Genomic DNA, 17,146 nt, shown 5'->3' with positions numbered 1-17,146 from the left:
TTACACCAATGTTTTCTTTTCTTCCTTTTTTTTTTTTTGAGACGAAGTCTCGCTCTGTCTCGCTCTGTCACCCAGGCTGGAGTGCAGTGGCATGATCTCAGCTCATTGCAACCTCTGCCTCCTGGGTTCAAGCAATTCTCCTGCCTCTGTCCGCCGAGTAGCTGGGATTACATGTGTGCGCCACCACACCTGGCTAATTTTTGTATTTTTAGTAGAGATAGGGTTTCCCCATGTTGGCCAGGCTGGTCTTGAACTCCTGACCTCAAGTAAGCCACCTGCCTCAGCCTCAGTGCTGGGGTTACAGGTGTGAGCCACCGCGCCTGGCCTGAATTCTTTGATTATTAATTAAGCTGAGCACATCTCCTAGAGTTGTTGACTATTTGCACCTTTTCTTTTGTGAACTGCCTATTCACAAGCATTGTTGGCCAGGCTGGTCTTAAACTCCTGTGCTCACATGGAAATGGAATCAAGGGATCCTCCTGCCTTGGCCTCCCAAAGTACTGGGATTACAGGTGTGAGCTGCTGCCATGCCTGGCTACTACACCTTTTTACATCAGGGACTTGAGCATCTGTGGATTCTGGTATCCATGGGGAGTCCAGAACCCATCTCCCGCTGATACCGAGGGACACTTGTATTCGGCGTAAACTTCGAAGTTGCCTGTGGGCAGCACCAGCTCACGGAACAGAACTTTTCAGCTCCTGGAAAGTTCCTGCTGAGTCCCCACTGGGCACACCATGGATGGGTCTCACACCACGCATCTATTTTTGTTTAATTCTGTCTGTTTCTTTTTTTTTTTTTTTTTTTTTTTTTTTGAGATGGAGTCTCGCTCTGTTGCCCAGGCTGGAATGCAGTGGCGCGATCTCGGCTCACTGCAACCTCCGCCTCCCGGGTTCAAGCCATTCTCCTGCCTCAGGCTCCCGAGTAGCTGGGACTACAGGCGCCCGCCACCATGCCCAGCTAATTTTTTGTATTTTTAGTAGAGACGGGGTTTCACCGTGTTAGCCAGGACAGTCTCGATCTCCTGACCTCGTGATCTGCCCACCTCGGCCTCCCAAAGTGCTGGGATTACAGGCGTGAGCCACCGCGCCTGGCCTAATTCTGTCTGTGGTTTCTTTAGCCATATCAATTTTTAACACTCACCAGTCTTTTATGATTTCTGGATTTTATGCTATGCTTAAAATGGCCTTCTTTTAGAAAAACATCTGCTGAGAGTTGCTTCCAGCACTGCTGCATTTTTTTAAACATCTCTGTCGTTAATCTTTGTGGAATTTGCTTGGGGCTGAGGTCGAGATGTTCAAGGAGGCTCGATGTCATGCTTGGTGTCACGCTCATAGGGTCTGGCCGTGGGCTTGTGGGTTACAGGGATGATTGTAAACATCTCCCCTTCCACCAATCCGGCTTCCTGACGCAGGGGCTGTGTATTGCTTCACTTCTGTGCCCCCGAGCCGAGCCCTGCCCTGTCCTGTGGCAGAATCCAGCTTCCTGACGCGGGGACTATGTGTTGCTTCACTTTTGTACCCCCCCAGCCGAGCCCCGCCCTGTCCTGTGGCAGGTGTGGCTTGAAACAAGCGTTGGGTGGGAGGGATAGGTGGACTTGGAGCTGGCTGGACCCCTGCAAGATCCTGGCCTGGTGCCTCCCAAGGAGCGGCTGAGGAGTCCCCCGTGGTGGCTGTGGAGGTAGAGAGCAGCCTGGGGTGGAGAGGATGTGCCTGCGGCAGAGAGGGCGGAAGAGCCAGCGCTTAGCCTTGGGTGCATAAAATCAGAGATGCCTGTGAGATAGGTATGCGTGTGCAGACACTGAGGTGCAGGAAATGCTGGGCTGAGGTGGGGAGGCCAGGCTGGGAGGCCATCACTAGGGCAGGCCTCGGGCCAGAGCTCTGAGCCTGGGGTCCTCCAGAGCTTAGGTGCCTATGAGAAGAGGCAGCCGGGAAGCAGAGCAGTGGGCAGCTGTGCAGCCATGGGGGCCTGTTGGGTCTGCGAAGGAGGAAGGGGCGTGAGGAAGCAGGGCCACGTTGGGAGCAGGGTGAGGCCTGGATGGTGCTGGGACCAGGTGATGAGGGGTGTTGGGACCTCAGCGGGACTGCTTGGGGTGTCGTCGGATTGGAGGTGCCAGGGGGCATGTGGGAAGTGCTCAGGAGGCCCTGCTGGTGCCAGGCTATGGTGGGTCCAGCAGGGTGGCAGGGAGGGAGAACCCTCTCCAGGACAGAGCGGTGACATGGAGGCTAGGCCGCAGCAGGTCACAGCCTCAGCTGGATGCTGGCCCGAGTTCCCTGGGGAAGGAGTTCCCTGGGCCTTGGCCTGAGGGACCTGCATGGTCACAGGGGGCATGGGCATCACCTGGCCCAGGGTGAGTACTGAGTGGTCGCTCACATTTACCCAGCCACACATCATCAGTGGCCAGTCCAGACTGCTGCTCACCACTGAGGGCCCTGGAGATTTTCCCAGGGTTGGGCTGTTGGGAGGGTGTGGGCAGTGGTGCCCTGTGGCCTCAGTTTCCCCAGTGAGGCCCAAGAGGAGCTGGCAGCAGAGGGGCCAGGGGCCAGGTACCTCAAGAAGGGACTGGAGGAGGCTGGGAAGGGCGATGCTAGTGGGACCAGGTGCCCAGATCTCCCACCGCTGGGGTCATGGGTGATGCCCACAGACCCACAGTGGGTAGGGAGATGCGGGGCTGGGAGAGCAGGGGCCGTGGGTCATGAGGTCAGGGACCCAAAATGGGGCATGGGCCGGGTCATCTGTAGGCCCAGTGGAAGGGGAGTTGGGAACACGCGTTCAGACGGTGGAAGGAGGGTGCCAGCTGGGAAGACAGGATCCTGTAGGACTTGGGACATCAGCCTGTGGGGCCTGCTCTCCAGGATTTGGGTCCTGGTTAGCTGCAGAAGAGTCCTCCCAGCTGGTGGTCAGCTCTTGGCAGGACTGTTGCTGCTTCTTCCTGGAGGCAGAGGAGACCCAGGACCAGGAATGGGATGGGGATCACTTTGTGTCCCTGTGTGGCTCCAGGAGTAGCGGCAGACCCAGGGCCAGTGCTGCAGGAAAGGAAGGCCCCAGGACGGCATCAGGGTGGCTGGTGTGAGTCTGGGTGCTCTTGGGCAGGCTGGTGTGTCAGGTGGGCTGGGGCCAAGTGGGACGGTGAGGGTGGGGAAGGCCATCCACAGGGGCACACCAGGGTGGGCGGGGGGGTGGGGGTTGGTTGGGGGAGTGGGGCTGGTCAGGGCTGGAAGTGTGGGTCTGCAGGAGCAGAAGGAGGTAGCTGCAGTAAAGGTCTCTGGTTGTGGCTTTTATGATTTTTATTCTGCTCTGTTTTTCAAATGAATGTGTCTTTTGACCTTTTGAAAGTGCATCTCTTTCTCTTCTTTCTTGCTAAACGAGTGGCTACCTGGGAAGCTAACAGAGCAGGCACAGGATAGGCCTAAGAGACACAGCTGGACGCCACTGTCATGACTGCCACAAGAATGCATGGTTGTTTACAGAATACAGATACCCCCAGAGAATGTGCCCTGTTTTAGGTTCCTGTGGCTGCTGTCACACGTACCCACAAACTGGGTGGCCTTAAACAACAGAAATGTATTCTCTTACGGTTCTGGAGGCCACATGTCCAAAATCAAGATGTTGACAGGGCCACGCTCCTTCGGAGGCTCCAGGGCGGACTCTGTTCCTGGCCTCTCCAGCTCCTGGTGGCCATCGGTGCCTGGGCTCGTGGCCGCATCACTCCAGTGTCGGCCTCCATCCTCCCGTGGCCCTCTCCCCTGTGGCTTCTCTTCCATCTCTTGTAAGACACTTGGCATTGGTTCTAGGCCCCCTACTGGGTAATCTAGGATGATCTCATCTCAAGATCCTTGTGTTAATTACACCTGCAAAGACCCTTTTTCCAAATAAGATACCAATTATGGGTTCCAGGGAATTGTTCATAGACATATCTTTTGGGGACCTCCATTCAACCCACTACAGTCTGTCCTCTGGTCCCTCAAAACTTACATCTGCCCCACTTCCAAAATAAATGTTTCTTATGCCAACATGCCCCAAAGTCTCAACCTATTGTAGCATCAGCTCTAAGTCTAAAATTCCATCCGCTTAGCCAGGCACAGTGGCTCACGCCTGTAATCCCAGCACTTTGGGAGGCCTGTGGGTGGATCACCTGAGATCAGGAGACCAGCCTGGCCAACATGGTGAAGCCTTGTCTCTACTAAAAATACAAAAATCAGCCAGTCATGGTAGTACACACCAATAATCCCAGCTACTCAGGTGTATGAGGCACGAGACTTGCTTGAACCCGAGAGGCAGAGGTTTCAGTGGGCCGAGACTGCACCAATGCACTCCAGCCTGGGTGACAGAGCAAGACTCCATCTCAAAAAAAAAAAAAAAAAAAAATTAGCCAGGTGTGGTGGCACATGGCTGTAGTCCCAGCTGCTCAGGAGGTGGAGGTAGGAGGATTGCTTAACCCTGGAGGCTGAACCCAGGTGACAGAATGAGACCCCATCTTGAAAAAAACAAGAACAACATTTAATCAGCTCAGAAGTCCCAAATCTGATCATCGAAGTTGTGTCTAAATCAGGTGTTGGTGAGGCTCTGGGTAGGATCCAGATGGGGGCAAAATTTTTCTCCATCTTTTTACTTGTAAAACTAGAAAGCAAGTTTTATGCCTCCAAACTGCAATGTTGGGCTAGGCATAGACTAGACATCACCATTCCCAAAGGGAGAAATATAAAGGAATAAAGGGGTTGCCAGTCCCAAGCAAGTCTGAAATCCAGCAGGGCAAATTCCGTGGGGTTTCAAGGCCCGTGAATGCTCTTCTGTGGCTCAGTGCCCCACCCTCTGCACCTGCACCTCTGCCAGCCTCTGCCTCTAGGCCTAAGGCCCTGACCTTGGAGTCATTCTTCCTTTTTCTCAAAGGGTAGCACATGTTTGCAGCTGCCTGGGTCTGTCATCCTGTTTCTTGCCTGTAGACTCTCAGAAGCCCAATACCTTCCTTCATTTCATCCTGTCTCTGTTCCCATCAATCCAAGCAGGCAGTGTTTCTGCTGGTAAAACATTCTCATAAACCTTCTGGGTCTCCCCTGTATGTCACAGGGAGCCAGGCCATTAGAGAGAAGGGTTCACTCGGATCCTCCCTGGATAATCTTGTCTCTATTCCTGGCTTCTGTTGAGATGAGTGAATGGACCCATGAGTCACATACCTCATCTCTGCAGAGATGGCTTTCTCTGCAGAACACACTTTCCTAACAGTGAACCTCCCAACATGAGCATCTTTTGCAATCTAAATAGGCTGCAGATATCCCAAATCACCCATGCTGTTTCCTTTTTGCTTAATAGTTCCTTCCTCAATTTATCTCTTTCTTCCTGTACTTTACCATAAGCAGCAAGAAGCAGCCAAGCCACACCTTCCACACTTTGCTTGGAAATCTTTTCAGCTAAATATCCAAGTTCATTGCTTACAAGTTCTGTTGAGCACCCGACAGTGAACACAGTTCGGCGAAGTTTCGCTTCAATGTGAGAAGCACCTTTCCTCCACTTTCCTCGTTGCCTTCTAAGGCTTCACCACAAGCACCTTTAATACCCATATTTCTACCAACCGTCTGGTCAGACAGGCTAGGCTTTTTCTACTGTGTGCCTCAAGATGTCCCAGCTTCTGTTTATTACCCAATTGCAAAGCCACATCCACATTTTCAGATATTCGTCACAGAGGCACCCTGCTCCTGCTCGCTGTCTGTATTGATTTCCTTTGATTCCCACAGGGAAGAGCCACAGGCAGGGCGCCCTAAAACAATAGAAATTTATCTTTTGATTGTTCCGGAGGCCAGAAGTTAAAAATCCGGTGTCGGCAGGTCCACGCTTTCTCCGAAGGCACCCGGGAAGAGCCTAGGAATAGCCGCCTGCCTCTTCCAACTCCACTGCCCCTTGGCTTGTGGCTGCATCATGCCAATCCCTGCCTCTGTGTCTCTCCTCGTCTAAGGACACTTGCTTTTGGATCTAGGGCCCATCCAGGTAATCCAAGATGATCTCATCTCAAGATCCTTTATTTAATTATATCTGCAGAGACCCTGTTTACAAATAAGGCCACATTTATGAGCTCCAGGGACATGGACATAGATTTTTTTGTGGCCACCATTGGACCTACCCAGCCATCCTGCAGTAGTTGGTTAATGTAGAACTTACACATTTTTGTTCCATAGTCATTGTTTTAAAAAGCGTGCACAGTGGGCTGGGCACGTGATTACAGGTGGCACATGCCTGTAATCCCAGCACTTTGGGAGCCTGAGGTGGGAGGATCTCTTGAGCCCAGAATGTCAACACTGCAGTGAACCTGGGCTACAAGAGCAAGACCCTGTCTCAAAAAGAATAAAAAAATAAAAAAGCATGCACAGTGTTCTTTAGTGTGTGTTAATTTATCTGTAATTTCATGATTTAATGTTATGAAGTATTTTAGACATAAGTAACTTCTTTTACTTAGTGATACAGCTTGGGCATCTCTCTGTGACATTAATTTACAATACAGCATTCCCCTGTATGGAAACCATATCATATTTAACCAATCAATCCTTTCTCCTAGGACACGGAGTTTAATTTTGGATTTTTGTATTAGAAATGACTGCAGTGAACAGTGTTGTAGCTGGGTCATTGTGCATCTCTATGACTGTTGTTAAAAAGGGAATTTCTGGCCAGGTGCGGTGGCTCACGCCTGTAATCCCAACACTTTGGGGGGCCGAGTTGGGCAGATCACGAGGTCAGGAGTACGAGACCAGCCTAACCAACATGGTGAAACGCTGTCTCTACTAAAAATACAAAAATTAGCAGGGTGTGGTGGTGCACGCCTGTAATCCCCGCTACGCAGGAGGCTGAGGCAGGAGAATCACTTGAACCTGGGAGGCGGAGGTTGCAGTGAGCTGAGATCGCGCCATTGCACTCCAGCCTGGGCGACAGGGCAAGACTCTGTCTCAAAAAAAAAAAAAGGAATTTCTGGGTCAAGTGGTTTTCAAAATTTAAGCTTTAATTTACATCAAGATACTGTTTTTTACCTATCGTATTGGCAAAAATCAAAAATCTGGATTTCTAGGTTCTGTTGCTGAAGCTGTGGGAACCAGGCCAGAGAAAGCGTCTGTCAGAGCCACAAACGCGCAGTGTGTGTCCGAGCAGACGATGGTCACTGGCCTGAGTGCGCTCAGAGGCTGGGCCCACACGTGCCGCTCTGCATGGCCAGACGTGGGTCACGGTCCCCGTGCAGAGCGGGAGGCCTCCAGCTGTGGGGTGGGTGGGAAAGCAGGGGCAGAATGGTGCCCGGAAGATTTCACCGTTTGTGTTAAAAGGAAGAAAACCAAGAATCACATGGTATTTGCTTGATTTTCTGTAAAGAAATTCTGGAGAAACAAACAGGAAGCCACTAACAGTGATTTTCACACTGTGTGTGTGGGTGGGGGGAGACAGGGAGAAGGGAGGGGAGCAAGACTTCTCTGTCTACTCTCAGTGTTTGAGTCACGTGAATATTTTCTATTCCAACACGATTTTGATTTTTAAAGTTTAGTGAAGGGAAGAATGTAAACTGTTATAAGTTCTTTTTTTTTTTCTTGAGACAGAGTCTTGCTTTATCACCCAGGCTGGAGTGCAGAGATGCAGTCTCAGCTCACTGCAACCTCCGCCTCCCGGGTTAGAGGGATTCTCCTGCCTCAGCCTCCTGAGTAGCTGGGATTACAGGCACCCGCCACCACACCCGGCTAATTTTTGTATTTTTAGTAGAGACGGGGTTTCACCTTGTTGGCCAGGCTGGTCTCGAACTTCTGACCTCAGGTGATCCGCCCGCCTTGACCTCCCAAAGTGCTGAATTACAGGCATGAGCCACTGGGCTTGGCCTAAGTTTTTATTTTATTTTATTGTTTATTTTATTATTATTATTATTATTATTTGAGACGGAGTTTCGCTCTTGTTGCCCAGGCTGGAGTACAATGGCATGATCTCGGCTCACTGCAACCTCCGCCCTCCGAGTTCAAGCGATTCTTCTGCTTCAGCCTCACAAGTAGCTGGGATTACAGGCATGCACCACCATGCCCAGCTAATTTTGTATTTTTAGTAGAGACAGGGTTTCTCCATGTTGGTCAGGCTGGTCTCGAACTCCCAACTTCAGGTGATCTGCCTGCCTCGGCCTCCCAAAGTGCTGGGATTACAGGCGTGAGCCACCGCGTGCCTGGCCAGTTCTTTTTTATTTTTTTTGAGACGGAGTCTCACTCTGTCGCCCAAGCTGGAGTGTAGTGGCATGATCTCAGCTCAATGCAACCTCCACTTCTCCTGCCTCAGCCTCCTGAGTAGCTGGGACTACAGGCGCCCGCCACCACACCCGGCTAATATTTTGTATTTTTAGTAGAGATGGGGTTTCACTGTGTTAGCCAGGATGGTCTCAATCTCCTGACCTCGTGATCTGCCCGCCTTGGCCTCCCACAGTGCTGGGATTACAGGCGTGAGCCACCACACCAGGTTTCAGACACAATTTTTAAACAATTTCTAAGTTGCTGGCTAGGTACTGCAGTCGTCGTCCCTCCAGCAGTGCCCAAGTGGGCCGACTCCTCCCACCTGCCCAGCACCCGGTGTTGGAGCTTCAGACAAGTCACATGGCCTCGCTGTCTGACGGGAACTTGTGTAAGGAGTCTCCTGGCAGAGCCAGCGGGAGGGTGAGCAGAACTGCGGCCGCGTCAGGTTAGCGCGGCATCTGCCACCTGGGCCTCTGCATCCCGGACCCCGAGCCTGGTCCTGGAGCCATCCTGGAGCCGGGGCGTTCCCTGCATCAGCTCTGACCGATCGTCAGTTATCTTATTCCAGCACGTTTTGTGCTGATGAAGAGTTTTTCCTGCTGTATTTTCCTAACTTGTTATTACTGGCCTAAAGAAATCTCTCGGGTCTTTTAACTGCGTTTGAAGCCAGCCTCTCAATGAACTTTCTCTGAGCTCCAGTAAATGGTGAGTTGAGTTGTTTCAGGTGCCAAGAGGAGCAGTGCTGACTTGGGTAAATGCTGTCCCATGTCCTGGCGCTGGACCGAGAGCTGCGCCTGCACCGTCCGCATTCACCCTCACACGCCCTCCCCTCAGCAGCCTCGCCTCACACTGGGAGGGTGCCCCGCTGTGCTACAAGGGTCATTTATTTGCATGTTAACGATGTAAGCTCATTCCTTGTTATAAATACTGGTTTTTATCAAATGAGCTGTCGAGATTTTCTAGATCAATATACCGGTTTTCTCCTTTAATCTGCTAGTGAAGTCAACGATATTAACAGAGTTCTGGGAAAGTGCATTATCCCTGAACTCCAGGAATTCATTTCTTCTCTTGCTCCATGTTTCCTGTGGTGACACCTTCGTGTCTGGTGCTGGGTGAGGCAGCCGCCCCAGGGGCCCACAGGTGTCTCGGTGTTGGAGGGCTGAGAGGGAGGGAAGGGGGAGCCACCATGGATCAGGTGAGAAGCCTCTCCACAGAGGCCTGGCGAGGTCCACCCTGCTGCAGCAGAGCAGGTGCCTGCGTGAGGAGGGCCTCCAGAGGGCAGCGGCAGGGCTGTGGTGGGACCTGCTTGTGCTCGGAGAGCACTGGCTGCTGTTGTCCAGTGCTTGGAGGTGAGGGGCAACGAGGGAGGCTACCACTGTCTTTGAGGTGAAAGGGTGGTGGCCAGGCCAGGGTGTGGTGGAGACAGTGGGCACAGGACAGGTTTGAGAGATATTTGGGAACGATGGGCCCCCTAATGGATGGTCATGTGGGTGGGACCCAGGACCTTCCCCGCAAATTGGTCTCTAGCAGACACCTGGTATTGAGATACTCTTGTACTGGGCTGCAGGGGAGAGAGGAGAAGGATGTGGCTCGGAGAGATGACCTCTGTGCCTCCTGGGCCCTCACTGGGACTCCCAGCAGCCCTGGTGGGCATCCAGTCCCGCAGTGGTGGCCCTCCACCCCAGAAATCCTGCAGGCTGGCTGGCCCGACTGAGCTCGCACTGAGCCCCACCCTGCGCAGGGGTGGCCTCCAGAGCATGGAAGGCTCTCCTCCCACCTGTCCCGCAGCATCCGCAGAGGCCGGGCTGTTGTTGGGCCAAGGCTGCGAGGCAGAAGCCTGGGGCAGGTGAGGTGGCTCCTGTGGACCTGCCGCAGGCTCAGGCGGGGAGCAGAGCAGGGGTCTGTGCCTCCGGAGGGCTGAGTGTGTGCTGGATGTATCTGGCAGGATTTCACTGGGCCTGGTCTCCCTGGGGCTATTGTCGGGGGCCCCAGGTGGAGGTATCTGCCAGCAGGGTGTCTGCCTGTCGCAGGTCGCCTCTGCATGGGGTCACTGGGTCACAGCCCACTGGCCTGCTCCACCACCACCAGAGAGCCCCAGCAGGGCAGGCTGCCAGGGGGTTAGGGGCTGGGTGGGTGGGTGGGCGTGAAGATGGGGCAGGGAGCAAAGCTGAGGGCAGGCAGGGTGGTGGTGGGCAGGGCCTCAGGGGAGGGCCCATCCCATTCGCAGGTGTGGTGTGGGGGACAGGGTTGGAGCCCCTTCTTTGGCCTGGGCCTGTGGCCAGGGCAGCCAGGGCCTGGGGACTGGTGAAGAGGAGGTTGCTCTGTGCCCAGACAGAGGGGTTGGGAAGGAGGGAGGGCTTATCTGTGGTGCCTGGGCTCAACCTTGGTTCTGGGGTCCCCAGTGGTGTGGGGAATTTGCAGAGAGCTTCATGAGGATTTGGCTTTGCCCAGGGTGTGAGACCTGGCCAGGAGACCTGATGGCACCCCAGCTGGGCATGGGGGCCATGCTGGGTTCGACCAGCAAAGCAGAAGCTAGAGGTAGGGGTTTTCCGGAGGCACTGGTGCTGGTGAGCCCGACTGCAGCCTGGGGGTCCCTGCAGTTCACTGGCCTGGACACACAGACCCGCGTGCTTCTTCGGCAAGACTCCTTTGTGATCCATGAATTGGGGCCAGAGCGATGAGATCTCCTGGGCAGTGGCCGGGGCTTTGCTTCCCACGCTCCAGAGCTGCGTCACCAGGGCGCCCAGCTTCCTCTACCCCAGCTCCCTTTCCTCCCCGCTGCCTAAATCTCTTGCTCGTGGGCCCTTCGCTGCCAGCCTGGGACCTGCCTGTCCTGTTGAAATCCCCGGCTGTAGCCCCGTCTCCAGGCGCCCCCCTCCCGGCTGCAGCCACCTCCACCTTCTTGGGGGTTGCCTGGACTTGTTTCCTCTACGGCAAGGCCTTGGTGCCTGTGGCCTCTCTTCCTGTGCTGGCTGCCTGCGGCCCGTCCCCACATAGCTGTCCCTTCCTTTGGGAAGCCTGTGCCGGGAAGGAACCACAGAGCTGACTGACGTGCAGCTGGCTGAGCCCTTCCCAGGGTCATCGTGGCCGCCCCCACTTCCAAGGCTGCACCATGTGGCCACCGTTCCAGGCAGGCTGGGCTGGGCAGTCTCAGGCTCCTTCATGGGAACTTGCTGCTGCTGCAGCTTGTCGATAAGCCTCTGGCTGCGGGAGACCACAGGTGACCATGGTGGCCACTCACAGGCGGGCAGCTTGACTTCAGGGGGGAAGTTAAAGGCGGAGTCGGTGCATGAAAAGCTGTGTGTTCCTTCTCTGAACAGCTGTGTGCCCTCACCTTCTCATTAGCTTGAAACCATGATCCTATCTTTTTGTTTGTTTTCGAGTCAGTCTTGCTCTCTCCCAGACAGGAATGCAGTGGCGCAATCACGGCTCACTGCAGCCTTGGGTGGGCTGGTTCAAGCCGTCCTTCTGCCTCAGCATCCCAAAGAGCTGGGACCACAGGCCCAGGCCACCGTGTCAGGATAGTTTTTTAGTTTTTTGCAGAGACGGTGTCTTGCTTTGTTGCCCAGACTGGTCCTGAATTCCCAGGATCAAGTGATCCTCCTGTCTCAGCCTCGGAAAGTGCTCAGCCACCACGCCTGGCCAATCTTATAACATTCCATTTTATGCGTTTTAATCCTTTAAAAAAATCTCCCTGGCCGGGCGTGGTGGCTTATGCCTGTAATCCTAGCACTTTGGGAGCCCAAGACGGGTGGATCACCTGAGGTCAGGAGTTCGAGATCAGCCTGACCAACATGGTGAAACCCCATCTCAACTGAAAATACAAAAATTAGCCCGGTGCGGTGGCACACATCCGTAGTCCCAGCTGCAGAGGCTGAGATAGGAGAATTGCTTGAACCCAGGAGGCAGAGGTTGCAGTGAGCCAAGATCACACCATTGCACTCCAGCCTGGGTGACAGAGCGAGATTCTGCCTCAGTTAAAAAAAAAAAAAAAAAAAAGTCTCCCTAGGCTGAGGAAAATTTTTATGCATTAAATTAAAAAAATTGATCTGGACCAGGCAGTGTGGCTCACACTTGTAATTCCAGCACTGGGAGGTGGGAGGATTGCTTGAGCCCAGGAGTTTGAGACCAGCCTGGGCAACACAGAGACAGACTGTCTGTATAAAAAATTAAAAGATGAACTGGGAGTGGTGGTGCACGCCTGTAGTCCCAACTACTCAGAAAGCTGAGGTGGGGGCATCGCTTGAGCCCAGGAGGTCGAGGCTGCTGTGAGCCGTGATTGAGCCACTGCACTCTAGCCTGGGTGACAGAGTGAGACCTTGTCTCAAAAAAACAAAACAAAAAAAAAACAGCATTTTTTAAAAATGTATGAACTTTTTAGATCTCTTTATAAATATCTGTCACTTTCACTTGAGGTTTACTAAGGAAGTATGATTCACTTGCAGGCCAAATTTAGGTTTATCCAGATACAGCTCAGTAAAACCTAGCTGGGAATTCAGCAGTGGCGCGATCTCGGCTCACTGCAACCTCAGCCTCCTGGATTCCAGTGATTCTCGTGCCTCAGCCTCCTGAGTAGCTGGGGCTACAGGCGTGTGACACCATGCCTGGCTGATTTTTTTGTGTATTTTTAGTGGAGATGGGGTTTTGCCATGTTGGCCAGGCTGGTCTCAAACTCCTGACCTCAAGTGGTCCACCTGCCTCGGCCTCCCAAAGTGCTGGGATTCCAGGTATGAGTCCCCGTGCCCGGCCTGAAATTCTGTTTTAATTCCTCACTTCACCATTTTCCTTAAGTTTGGCAACTGGTGTTTCTTGAGACTCCCCACACCCCAACTGGCTGAGTCCCAGGGAGGGCAGGGACGGGCAGGGGGACGAGAGACTCCAGAACTGCTGGGTCTACGGTGGAGGTGGGGCTGGCTTCTGGCCCTTTGCCTGTTAGCTCGTACCCGTGGGAGCTGCCGGCCTCGCTCCTGGATCATGGTCACGTCCTCCATGCCAGCCCCAGCCTGGCGCACAGTGGGTCTGTTTACAGGAGGGGAAGGACTTGCGGGTGAAGGCAGAGGAAAGGCCTTGCTGGAGACTGAGGCAGGCTAGTCACTTCTATCTTGTGGAGGCTGTCCTGCCCCACACTACCAGCACGGACTGGGGTGGAGCACAGTCCCGGGGCCAGTGTTGAAGGGGTGCCCTGGTGTGGGCAGGGCCCAGCATTCCTCCGTGCCCCCTGCAGCGCAGTGAGTGAGGCAGAGCTGACCTCACCCTGCCAGTGCTACCTGCTCCCCCAGGCGTGCGCAGTGACACACAGCTACTCCTGCGGGCTGAGGAGGCTGACCCCATTAGCCATAGGGGTGGTTGGATCAGAGCAGCTGCGAAGGGTCCCTGGTGGTCGTGGGGGGTGGGTGAGGGATGGAGCTGCAGTGTCATCTGGCGGCAGTGGAGATGCTGGCGAGTGGGCAGACTGGGGGGCGCAGCCAGGAGGACCTGTGGGGCTGCCTGTGGGGCATCCTGAGGCTGGGTGGGAGAGGCAGAGACCAGGGTGCAGGTCGGACCTGTCATCTTTGGAGCCAGTGTACAAGGTGCCTGACCCAGGGCTGCGCAGAGGCGAGACGCCCGGGGAAGGGGCACACTGCTGGGGCCGGGGAGGTGGGAGGTGGCCGACCAGGGTCTGGGGGCTTGATCTCAGCAGCCTGCCAGCCCAGGCCCTGGAGTTGGGCCGGCTGAGGAAGTTACTGGGAGATCTGGATGGGTGGGTATCTCCTGCAGGGCGCGGGTAACGGCTTCAAGGCCCTCGCACGTGTGTCCCACAGGCTGTTCTAAGCATGGCTCGTTGCAGTGGACTCGGGGGGCTGTGGGGTGGGCCGGGGGCTGCGGAGCTGGGGAGTGGGCCGTCCGAGCGCTCCTGGATCCGGCCTGGTGACCTGGCAGTCTGGCTGGGGTTAGCGGGGTCGCGTGCCCCAGAACCACAGGCTGGGGGGGAGGGGTGCGCGGTGCGGCCGGGAGCATGCGCCCGGGGCGGCCCTGTCCGGCGCATTGATCAGCTGAAGCCCCGCCCCTGGCCGGCAAGCCCTGCCCCGGACCTCCGGGCTCCTCCCCCGGCTGCGGCGCTGGCCTGGGCAGTGCGGTGCGGGGCTGGACTCTGCCTGGTGGTGGCACAGCCGCCCTCAGCCCCGGCGCAGACATGGACCCCTCGCGAGCCATCCAGAACGAGATCAGCTCCCTCAAAGGTGCGGTCCTGGGGCCGGGCCCGAGCCGGGGGGCGCGGACCACACAGTGACCTCTGGCTGGGTGCAGTCCACGCAGGGTGGCGGGCAGGGTCTGCCATCCCTGGGGTGACACTGTGGGTCGCTGAGCCAGAGCCGCAGGAGACCCCAGACTCGTCCCCCTCCGGGCTCCACCTGGTTCGGGGTCCTACTGGGCTGGCTTCAGCGGCTCCGCAGCCCTGCAGGAGCGTCGGGGGCGGGGTGGCTGCTGCAGCGGCGGCGGCGGCGGCGGCGGCGGCGGGGCGGGGACAGGGACACAGTGGGAGCTCAGCCTTCACAGCAGGGTCAGCCCCTTCCACCCGGCCCGAGTTTGCCGCCCACAACCTGGCGTCCAAGGGGCAGGGCAGGGCTGGGGGACCACTGTGCAGAGGCGCCGGGCCGGCTGGCCCTGAGCAAGTCCACACTGCGGCTCTTTGTCTTGGGGTGGGGTGGGGGGGCTGGGGGCTGCCCAGGAGCCCTGACTGGTTGCTCTGGAAACCCAAAGGGGTCTGGAGTGGGGGGAGAAGGGGCCGCCCAGTCGCACACCCTGGCCCTCCCAGTGCTGAATCAGCTCCCGCTTCGGTTCCCACAGGGTGGGGGCAGGGGGCGGTAGCTTCCGCCCGGGGGTCTTGGGGGACGCCTGGACCCTGGCGCAGGGGTGTGTGTGCTTCGGGGGGGGTGTGTGCTGCAGGAGGTGTGTGCTGCGAGGCGGGGGGGGGTGGCGCATGCCGCAGGGGGGCGTGTGCGGAGCTGGCAGGGTGGGCCAGGAACATTCTGCTCCGGGCTCCTCCCTGCGGCTTCCCTTCCCGCCTGCAGGCCCCTGGCTGGTGGGAGGGAGGGGACTCCCGCCGAGCCCCGCCCCATCTCTGCTGGAGGAAGCTACCGCCCTTTCCTGCCCGGAGCCGGCTTGGGGGAGGCGGGGCTGGTTGGGTGGCGGCCCAGCGGGGGTCAGTCCTGGCACCCCTGCAGGCCTGTGTAGGAGAGAACCTAGGTCCACGTGCTTTTAAGAGGCCTTGGGATCATTTTGGGACAGTGTGGGTATCGTGGGTTAGTTTGGTGGGGCCCTTGGAGATCTGGGGGGGATTAGGTTAGGGAATCAGGCCAGGAAGATGCGGTCGGCCTGCCGGGAGTGCAGGAGGTCAGTGTGGGGGGGTGCGCTGAGGGACTGGCCAAGAGGGTAGGGCCTTCTTTGGGCACAGGGCTGGGCAGGCTTGGACCCAGCTGGTGTTGTTCCCAAAGCCACAACCCTGGTGGGTGGAGGGTCCGCAGGTGCTGGTGGTCCGAGGGGCGTGGCCACTGTGGTCCCTACATCTTCCTGGAGCCTCACCTCCTGAGGCTGGCCTTTTCCTGCCTGGGGCTGGCTTCAGAGGGAGGGAGAGCCATGCCGCAGCGAGCTGGCCCTGCCAGAGGGCTGTGGGAACCGTGGCTATGCCTTCGGAGTTTCCCCGCCACCACACCTCTGTGTACGCAGGCGTGCGCGTGCGCGTGCGTGTGTGCGCGCGTGTGTGTGTGTGTGTGTGTGTGTGTGTTTGGAGCCTGCACCGTGGCGCCATGGCGACGGCCCCATAAACCCGCCCCCACAAGCTGCTTGTTGGCCGCCTGCCGGCTGCTGGCCAGCGCCTCCCACCTCGGGATCCCCCCTCTCTCCCACTCCCCCCCACCGCCCTATTTATAATCAGTTCCCGGGTTTGCCGGGCTTGGTGGGAAGGGGTGTGTCGGCTTGGGGCGAGCAGCGATACGGGTGGGGGTCCATGGAGCACAGCGTGGGACAGTGGGAGTGTTGGGTGCGGTTCTCATGCCTGGACCCTCAGTGGGGGCGGCAGCAGCGGGGCGGGGAGGGGGGGGTGGATGATGGGTGTGGCTGGGCCAGGCCTGCAGGGCCTCACAGGGCAGTTTCCTCTTCCCTTCCCTTGGGCCCTGGCCGTCTTCTGGCCTGGCATTCTTCCACCCTGCAGCCATCCATCTGGCCTGCAGACGGGCACTTGGGCTGCCCAGGGTGGGCATCTGTGGGCGGTAGGGACTCGGTGACTTTCTCTGTGGCAGCGGCTGGGAATCTCTGGCCTCCAACAGCTGGGTTGGAGGTGGGGGTGAATTGAGGCCCCTCTGAGCCCCCTAGCCGGTGCTCTGCTCAGAGGGCTGTGGGCTTGGAGAGGCCACTCCTAATCTGGCCTGGAATGGGAAGTGTTAACTTGAGTGGCCACTGCCTCTAAGCCTGGTGTGTGGAGGTGGGGGCTCTGTCCGTTTGCCCGCCTGATGGACAGCAGCAGCGGTGCCTGCAGCCCTCCTCATGTGCTGTGGCAGCTGCCCCCAGCCGCTCCCCTCGGACTTCCTCCCGCAAGACCCCAGCTTCTTCCCCAGGCCCTAGTCCTCTCCGCTCAAGCCTCGCATCCCTCATCCCTCCAGGCCTGGCAGCCCAGCACCCCCCTTCAGATCCTTGTGAAGCCGGGACACCAGAGCCCACATCCCTGCCGAGTACCCCTCCTGCCCTCAGCCCCCCTGCCTGCCCTGCCACCCTCTTCTTTAGACTCTTGGTCTATATCCGCCCCCACTTGCCCCAGCACAGTCTTAGGGACCTTGAAGGATGTGTTTAGAAACTGATGTCATTTCTGACGTTGGAGCCGTGGGGCCTGGTGGGGGGAAAGGGGCAGCTGTGGGGGTGGCCGCTGCCTCTTGAGGTGCCC

The 17,146-nt window shown here is 56.8% G+C and overlaps 1 protein-coding gene across 14 annotated transcripts in view, besides 9 other annotated features; it reads left to right on the top strand.

The window, feature by feature from the left end:
• PLEC (plectin) overlaps positions 1-17,146 on the top strand; it is a 61,593-nt gene that overhangs the window by 8,570 nt on the left and 35,877 nt on the right. For 5 of the 14 annotated variants that reach the window (XM_047421893.1, XM_047421877.1, XM_047421891.1 and 2 more), the window contains exon 1: positions 14,342-14,450. The exons of the other annotated variants lie outside the window; for them this stretch is intronic. In XM_047421893.1, coding sequence (XP_047277849.1) covers positions 14,405-14,450 — 46 coding nt within the window. In that variant the 5' untranslated portion in view covers positions 14,342-14,404. Of the gene's footprint in view, positions 1-14,341; positions 14,451-17,146 lie in introns of those variants that run through there. 14 annotated transcript variants of the gene reach the window in all.
• Positions 1,049-1,825: an enhancer, noted in NCBI's record as "H3K4me1 hESC enhancer chr8:145040519-145041295 (GRCh37/hg19 assembly coordinates)". NCBI's record gives its function as "activates a minimal SCP1, AML or CMV promoter by ChIP-STARR-seq in naive H9 embryonic stem cells {active_cell/tissue: H9 hESC(naive)}" and the evidence as "EXISTENCE:reporter gene assay evidence [ECO:0000049][PMID:30033119]".
• Positions 1,826-2,603: an enhancer, noted in NCBI's record as "H3K4me1 hESC enhancer chr8:145039741-145040518 (GRCh37/hg19 assembly coordinates)". NCBI's record gives its function as "activates a minimal SCP1, AML or CMV promoter by ChIP-STARR-seq in primed H9 embryonic stem cells {active_cell/tissue: H9 hESC(primed)}" and the evidence as "EXISTENCE:reporter gene assay evidence [ECO:0000049][PMID:30033119]".
• Positions 2,604-3,381: an enhancer, noted in NCBI's record as "H3K4me1 hESC enhancer chr8:145038963-145039740 (GRCh37/hg19 assembly coordinates)". NCBI's record gives its function as "activates a minimal SCP1, AML or CMV promoter by ChIP-STARR-seq in primed H9 embryonic stem cells {active_cell/tissue: H9 hESC(primed)}" and the evidence as "EXISTENCE:reporter gene assay evidence [ECO:0000049][PMID:30033119]".
• Positions 9,940-10,843: an enhancer, noted in NCBI's record as "H3K27ac-H3K4me1 hESC enhancer chr8:145031501-145032404 (GRCh37/hg19 assembly coordinates)". NCBI's record gives its function as "activates a minimal SCP1, AML or CMV promoter by ChIP-STARR-seq in naive H9 embryonic stem cells {active_cell/tissue: H9 hESC(naive)}" and the evidence as "EXISTENCE:reporter gene assay evidence [ECO:0000049][PMID:30033119]".
• Positions 14,156-14,455: a silencer, noted in NCBI's record as "silent region_19639". NCBI's record gives its function as "represses an Ori minimal core promoter by ATAC-STARR-seq in GM12878 lymphoblastoid cells {active_cell/tissue: GM12878}" and the evidence as "EXISTENCE:reporter gene assay evidence [ECO:0000049][PMID:35858748]".
• Positions 14,696-14,765: a silencer, noted in NCBI's record as "silent region_19638". NCBI's record gives its function as "represses an Ori minimal core promoter by ATAC-STARR-seq in GM12878 lymphoblastoid cells {active_cell/tissue: GM12878}" and the evidence as "EXISTENCE:reporter gene assay evidence [ECO:0000049][PMID:35858748]".
• Positions 15,016-15,065: a silencer, noted in NCBI's record as "silent region_19637". NCBI's record gives its function as "represses an Ori minimal core promoter by ATAC-STARR-seq in GM12878 lymphoblastoid cells {active_cell/tissue: GM12878}" and the evidence as "EXISTENCE:reporter gene assay evidence [ECO:0000049][PMID:35858748]".
• Positions 15,136-15,485: a silencer, noted in NCBI's record as "silent region_19636". NCBI's record gives its function as "represses an Ori minimal core promoter by ATAC-STARR-seq in GM12878 lymphoblastoid cells {active_cell/tissue: GM12878}" and the evidence as "EXISTENCE:reporter gene assay evidence [ECO:0000049][PMID:35858748]".
• Positions 16,456-16,645: an enhancer, noted in NCBI's record as "active region_28081". NCBI's record gives its function as "activates an Ori minimal core promoter by ATAC-STARR-seq in GM12878 lymphoblastoid cells {active_cell/tissue: GM12878}" and the evidence as "EXISTENCE:reporter gene assay evidence [ECO:0000049][PMID:35858748]".

Source organism: Homo sapiens, chromosome 8, assembly GCF_000001405.40.
Source record: "Homo sapiens chromosome 8, GRCh38.p14 Primary Assembly".
Taxonomy (NCBI): Eukaryota; Metazoa; Chordata; class Mammalia; order Primates; family Hominidae; genus Homo; species Homo sapiens.
This window is presented reverse-complemented; position numbering and strand designations above follow the sequence as displayed.